Raw genomic sequence first — 7,848 nt, forward strand, 5'->3', positions numbered from 1 at the left:
CAGCCATTCTTATAGGTGTATATTAGTCATGGTATATCATTGTAGTTTTGATTTGCAGTCTCTACTGACTAATTTGTTTATCTGACACTTCATACCTTCTTCAGAAAAGTATATGTTTATACATTTTGCCTCTTTTTTGTTGGGCTGACTGTCTTCTTAGTGTTGGGTTTTAAGAGTTCTCTACATAGTCTAAACACATTTCCTTTATCAGTTATGTGATTTGTACATATTTTCTCCATCTGCTGCTTGCATTTTCATTCCCTTAACAGTGTCTTTCATAAAACAAATGTTTTTAATTTTTATGAAGTCCAATTTATCCTCTTTTTTTCCATTGATTACTTACACATTTGGTATTGCATCTAAAAACTTATCACCAAACCAGAAGTTACACCGATTTTCTCCTGTGTTTTCAACTTTTGTGTTATATTCAAGGCTAGTTCTGTTGATTGCCTTGCCTCTTGAAAATACGTTCATTTTTTTTCTTATTTCTTTATTGTCTTATAATTTTTGGTTGAAAATCAAACATCTTTTAGTGCAGCAACAAGTGAAGTAAATAATTTTATGCTTTGAAATAGGTCAACTCCTTTTTTTTTATTTTTTCTAGAAATTGGTAAAAGAATGTTGAATCAAGTAGCCAAAACCAGAGCTGGATTTGGGTTTTGATGCTGCTGTGTTTACATTCAGTCCACCACAAGCTTAAAATTCCTCCAGCAATATTTTCTGTTTAGGGATTTTTTTTCAAGTGATGGTTTCATCTTTAGCTTTAGGTCAGTCCTTTTGTCTCTCCTGACTCTAAATGCATTAGGTCCTTCTCACGCTCTTGACCTCCCCTAAACCAGCCTGGTGCCTGTGTGCTGGAGGGGAGGGGTTGTAGGTGTAGTGTTCACTATGGTCCAGCTTCATTCGTATGGCAAACATTCTAATTCTGGATTTCAGAGGTGAGACCCTCTCTGTATCTTTATTTGCCAATTGGTGAAGGATAGGTAGGGATCCTACTCCTCTTCCAATGGAACGGCATCTTTAATGTTCTAGTCACAGGACACATCTAGAGATTTGTTTCTGTTCTCTTCTCCCAGCTGCACTGGGTCTTGACCCGTTTCCTGAGGGCAACAAACTTTGAACACATTCCCCCAGAACCTTAAGGATTTGTTCCACAGGGGAGACAAAGGACAATAATCCAGGTAGAGCTCTGTGCCTTTTGCTCAACAGCTGCTATTGCTTATTCCAAGTCTTTGCCACAAGGGTTGTTTTATCCATACTCACACCACATCCCTAGACTTTTTTGGAAGGAGCTGATGGAAATCTGTGAAGAAGAGCCTGTGAGTGGATATAAATGCCCTTTGTTTTAGTAGCTCCCATGGGCATTATAATCCTATGCTCGCCCACAGTCAGCAATTTGTTAACATTTTTAGGTAAAATTTTTAGCTAACGTCTTCTTACTTGTTTGCATGGCATCTGGCAGCTGCCATAAGCACTTTCACCCATCTTTCTTTGCAGAAACCTTTTTATCCGAGATTTTGAAGTGGGTGGTTGTATTACGATATGATCTTTTTGGTAGATTCAAGAAAGTTGTGGTTTTACAAGTCATTTAGCTTTTTTAGTTGTCAAAGTAAGATCTATGCTCTTTCTAACTTTCTACATTCTAAGTGGAAACTGGTATTTTCCATTTTATTTTGAGAAAAAGAGAGAGTCATTAAAGACTTTTTAAGCTAGTCTGTGAAAAGTTCACATCTACATTTTTAGAAGAAAAAATAATATTCTGGTTGTACCATGCAGAGTAGATTGGGAGACTAAAGGTTTCCAGAGAAATTAGGAGGCTGTTACAATAACCTGGGGAAAAGATGAGCAAATCCTAAACACAGCATGGCCTGGGACAGAAAGTTAAAGATAAATTTGAGAAATTTAGGATTCAACAGGACTTCCTGACAGATTATGAACATGGGTTCCTGTAGGCATATTCCTGCACTTAAAAGTGCTGAAATGTGGTCTACAAGAGAGGAAAGATTGTGCCCATATTTCTACCTAGACAATGAGGAGGATGGTGGTAAAGGAGTCAAGACAATATTAAGATTTTAAGTGAAGCAGAGTTGTGAAGAGAATATGCAGGTAGGTGTTATCTTGTGAAAACAGGTGGCTAGTTCACTGAAAGGGCTGGGAACAGGCAGGACAGAGGACCACAAAATTAATTTTGGGCAAATCAGTAAATGGATACATAAATAAATACATAAAGAAATTGAAGCATCAATATGGAGCTATACCTACTTAATAATCACAATGATTTCTTTATTTTTTTATTCCAGCAAGGGCAATAGGTTTGGTCATATTTAAGAGTCCAGTGGGAATAATTTGTACAAATTGAAATGCCTCATAAAATGTGAGCTGAGCTACCGCAGCCTTTTCCTGGCTGAGATACTGAGGCATTGTCTCATGGCTCCCCCATCACTAGAATTCCCAAACACTGTGTGCTAATTGCATTGGCTGAATAGTATAACATTTAATTTGTTATAACCTGCCAGAGGCCACTTAATAAACCTAATATGTCAGCTTCAGGTTTGGGAACAATTAAGAGAAATTTATAGCGTGAAGGCATTTAAGGTCCTGGTAGTAAAGAAGAGAAATGTTTAATGCCAATTTCCTAATTCGTCTTTCAGAAGCCAAAAAGGGATTGTTAGATTTTAAACATGTTAATATAACAGTGTTTGTTATATGGAAAAAAATAAGGCAAAATGTTTATATCATGATGTCATAGACTTACCCTTCCTTTCTCTGTCTTGCAAGGATTTATGGAGCTCCATGTTATCAGACCTCCGTCTTTGGTGTTTTGAAAGCAAAGATGAGAATCTCTCTCTTGAAAGAGTCACGGCCTACTGGGAGGATGCTCACAACAAACATTTGCTAATGTAACATTATGGGTGTTAATCTCAGCGGAACAGAAAAGAGAAGGAAGGAGCTATACTACTTGAATTAGAATTGTAGAACTTACCCATTCAGATGAGCATTGTTCTTCAAAATAATCACTTTGAAAAAATTATGTACTTCCCACTCATGTTCTAATTACTTAAAATAGTTTAGAGACTTTGCTCTTGGCGTTATCTTCAGAAAATATTTGTAAGTTATAAAAAATTATTTGATGATTTTCTTCTATTTTTATCAAATTATAATAACTAGCTCAGTTTTTTTTTAGTAAGTGGCTAAATAGATGCCCCATGAAACATACTTCTGTAGTCAAATAAGTTTAAGAAAATCTACTCATGCTCTTCCCTCATTTGATATACATTAACAGATCCAATCTCTAAGAAGCGCTACAGCAAACTTAAAACTGAACTTTGTAGACCAGTGCTTCTGCAACTTACTCTATTTCATAAACTTTAAGATGTCATCTATTATAAGATGCACCATACATTTATGTACCCCCCCTCCTTTTTTCTGAGACAGGGTCTCACTCTGTCACCTAGGCTGGAGTGCAGTGGCGCCATCTTGGCTTACTGCAGCCTTAATCTCCCAGACTCAATTGATCCTCTCACTTCAGCCTCCTGAGTAGCTGGGACTACAGGTGTGTGACATCATGCCTGGCTAGTGTTTGCTATTCTTTTTTTTAGAAATGGAGTTTCGCTGTGTTGCCCAGACTGGTCTCAAACTCCTGGCCTCAAGTGATCCACCCGCCTTGGCCTCCCAAAGTGCTGGGATTACAGGCGTGAGCCTTCACGCCCAGCTTCTGTATCTTAAAAAACAAAACAAAACAAAAATGCCAATTAAGACTCAATGCTTTCTTAAGGTTTAAAGTTTTTTTTTTAATTTTTAGACTTATTGAAATAATTCTTTGCATATCACTTAGACAAATATTTTATTATATAGTATTCTTGAGGATATATCTACACATATATGTGTAAATATATACATATGTCATTTAAGATATTTCTAAAACTTTGTAAACAGACAATATCCACTCTTCTGAATGACTTTTTGCCCCAGAGCTGCTGATATCCATGCTTTTTCACCAACATCCCTATCTGTACCATGGAGAATATTGGTGACGCAGCTTTTTAAAATGTCTTTCACTATTGTCTCCATGATTTTTATCCAAGCCACTGACACCTATTCGGCAAGCATTGATTTATTTGTGTAGGGAAAACAAGTGCATCAAAACCACCACCTATTCATAGTAGCCAAGATTTGAAAGCAACCGAAGTGTTCATCAACAGATGAATAGTTAAAGAAAACCTGGTACATATACACAATGGAGTACTAGTCAGCCATAAAAAATGAGGTCCTGTCATTTGCAATAACATGGATGGAACTGGAGGTCACTAAGTTAAGCAAAATAAGTCAGTCACAGAAAGATAAACATATGTTCTAACTTACTTGTGGACTCTATAAATCAAAACAATTGAACTTAAGGACATAGAGAGTAGAAGGTTGGTTACCAGAGACTGGAAAGGGTAGTGTGGGGTTGGGGTGGGAATGGTTAATGGGTAAAAAAAAATAAGACCTACTATTTGAATAGCACAACAGGGTCACTATAGTCAATAATAATGTAATCACACATTTTAAAATAACTAAAAGAATATCACTGGACTGTTTGTAACACAAAGGATAAATGCTTGAGGGTATGGATGCTCCATTTTCCATGATGTAGTTACTATGCATTGCATGCCTGTAACAAAACATCTCATGTACCCTGTAAATATATATACCTGCAATGTACCCACAAAAATTAAAAATTTAAAAATTTAAAAACAGAGAAAAAATCACCTGATAGTGACAGTAAGGTGCATTTTAATTGTAGACATGTTAAAATTTGAAGTAAAAACAATTTGTTACAGGACCAGTGAAAAGGATTACATCCTCACAAGATCCTTGTTCATAAATCCAATGGAGCGGGGTTTTATTGGGAGCCTTTGAGAAAGCTGATCTATCCTGCTTGATCAAAGTTGGACTAAAGCTAATGATAGCCAATCTCCTATAAAATAATGATTTAATCACTGCATATCATAGCAACATTAAACTCAGGGAGCTCAAAACGAAGTTCCTGGAAGACAGTATACTGCAGTGGTTGTGAGTACAAAATCTGCAGCTAGTTGGTCTCAATTTGTATTCTTGCTTGCCCGCTTATTAGCTGTAAGAACATGGGCACATTACTTAACCTCTCCATGTGTCAGTTTCTCATCTCTAAAGTGGGGAGACTAAGGACACCTACCACATAGTGTTATTCTGAGGCTTTACATTAAACAGAAAAAAAAAGGCTACTAAAGCTCTTCGCATGGTCACTGCCTGTAGTCAACACGCTTTAGCTATTGTTATTATTTTCTCAGGCATTCATGACAAGCAACCACCTTTCTCAATTTAGCTCTGAAAGAAGCTTGGTTATTTCTGAAAATTACAATGACTCCTAGAGGGTTAATAATTTATCACGTGAAAAGGTTCTCAGCAATATGCTACAGGGTCTGATAATAATTAATGAAGTGCGGCCGTTTAAAAAATACTTTTGGCAATGACGGCATTATCAAAATAAGCACATGGCCTCCCACATGCCTATTATGAAAGTGACTAGATTCATTTGCAAATAGCAGTGTGATTACTACCATATCTCTTTGCACTGTAGGTAAATTGTATAGAAACTTGTTTTCTGTCTTCTGCATTCCATCTTTCTCGCCTCCCAGGTCCAATCCATTTGAAAGTCTTATGAAAGACAGTATGAAATACAATGGAAAACATGTTTTTTTTTCACTTCCTAAATGTGTAATTTGGGCAATCTAATTAATCTTTCTGGGCCCTGATTTTATCTATGAAATATGGATACTACAAATACCCACATCACAGAGTTGTTATTACTACTGGCATTGGTATTACTATCATGGTATTATTTTCTATTGCAGCTGTAACAAATTATCACAAACTTTGCAGCTTAAAAAAACACAAATGTACTATACTACTGTTCTGGAGGTCTAAAGTACAAACTGAATCTCACTAGGCCAAAATCAAGGTGTCAGCAACACTGGGTTCCTTCTGACAGTTCTAGGGCAGAATCTGTTTCCTCGCCTTTTCCAGTTTCTAAAGGCTGCCTACATTCCTTAGTTTGTTGCTACTTCCTCCATCTTCAAAGCCAGCAATGCATCACCATACCCCTCTGACACTTCTTCTCTTGCCTCCCTCTTTTCCTCATAAGGACCCCTGCAATTACATTGGACCCACTGGAATAATTTCCTCATTGCGAGGTCAGTTGATTATCAAACTCAATGCTTCCTTTTTATATAACAACATATTCACAAGTTCCAGAGATTAAGACGTGGACATCTTTAGAGGGCCATTATTCCGCCTATCATCCTCATTCTAACATTAGGTGTTGCTGCATAACACATTACCCCAAAAGGTAGTAGCTTAAGGTAACATTTATCATCTCACAGTTTCTCTGGGTCAGAAATTTGGTTGCAACTTAACTGGGTCCTCTGATTCAGAGCCTTTCATAGGTAGCAACCAAGGTGTCCATTGGCTCTTCAGTCATCTCAAAGCTTGACTGTGGGGGAATGGAGAGAGATCTACTCCCAAGCTCACTCATGTGATTGTAGGCAGAATTCAGTTTTTCCTGGGCCTTTAGCCAGAGATCTCCCCACTAGGTTCCTTGCCATGTGGGGCCTCTCCCACAGAAGATCTCACAACATGGCAGCTGGCCTCATCAGAATGAGCAAGCAAGACAAGAGAGAGTGAGAGACTACTAAGAGAACGTACAAAGTCACAGTATTTTGCAATAAAACCTTGGAAATGACACTCCATTACCTTTGCCCTATTTTATTCACTAGAAGCAAGTTCACTAGGTCCAGCCTGTACTCAAAGGGAAGGGGCTGCACAACTGCATAAACACCAGCAGGCAAAAATTGTTGGAAGCCATCTTAGAAGCCAGCCCACTACACTTGCTATGATTATTGTTCCAGTGATATCTATCCTCTTCAATTCCTAACATTTTAGCCCAACCCTTTACCAACTTAATATATCAGAGTATTAGGGATGGAGCCTCTGTGATTTTATTGTGCATCGCCTAGAGCCACAGCTCTTTACTGTGCCACTACAATAGTAATTTATTTGTGATGCACCATGATTGAGTCATTCTTTATTCAAAATCCCTTCACAACATTTTGTGTCATTTGTATTAGAAAGTACAAGCTCCATATTCACTTAGAAGTGCCTCTCTAATGAATACCTGCCTCTCCAACTTTGCTTCCAGCTGTCTCCACCTCCCTCACAGTATGGGCTCTTCTAATGCTTCACGGTTCACATCCTTCCTAAGCACTGGGCTGCTTTTCACTTCTGTGCCTTCGCCAATGCTGTGTTCACCCATCTACTCCAAGCAACCCCTACAACATACCTACTTTTTAAAAAGTTGTATTTCTTGGACAAATCCAAAGTAATGTTTATACAATGTTTATAAATATGTTTATAAAAGCAGTGTAAAGTATAATGAATCACAATAAAACAAACAGCTATGAACCCACAAATTAGCTTAAGGAAAGAATATTGTCTTTAACTTTGAAGTTTCCTGTGTGTCCCTCCTTATGTTCCATCCCTTTCTCTCCTTCACAAAAGTAATCACAATCCTAAATTTTATATTTACAATTCTCTTGCATTTATTTAAAATTGTAACATGTATGTTTGCATACCTAAATAAAAATATTGTTTAGTTGTGTATGTTGCATGGAACTGTACAATTATTAGAGCCATATTGTTCCCTGTAGCTGAAATGCAGCCATTTTTACCTTTTTATAGCAATCGGTTTTATGAACACGTCTTAATTTGTTTATCCACTCTCTGATTAGATGTGATCTACTCTCAGTGCTTCTACTATTAATGACATTG

The 7,848-nt window shown here is 37.3% G+C and overlaps 1 annotated feature.

Moving 5' to 3' along the window:
- Window positions 7,276-7,437: a silencer, noted in NCBI's record as "fragment chr8:127267275-127267436 (GRCh37/hg19 assembly coordinates)". NCBI's record gives its function as "represses an EF-1alpha promoter that drives an FKBP-Casp9 reporter gene in an ReSE screen in phorbol 12-myristate 13-acetate-treated (for megakaryocytic differentiation) K562 erythroleukemia cells {active_cell/tissue: K562(+PMA)}" and the evidence as "EXISTENCE:reporter gene assay evidence [ECO:0000049][PMID:32094911]".

The sequence above is a fragment of the Homo sapiens genome, chromosome 8, assembly GCF_000001405.40.
Source record: "Homo sapiens chromosome 8, GRCh38.p14 Primary Assembly".
Classification (NCBI taxonomy): Eukaryota; Metazoa; Chordata; class Mammalia; order Primates; family Hominidae; genus Homo; species Homo sapiens.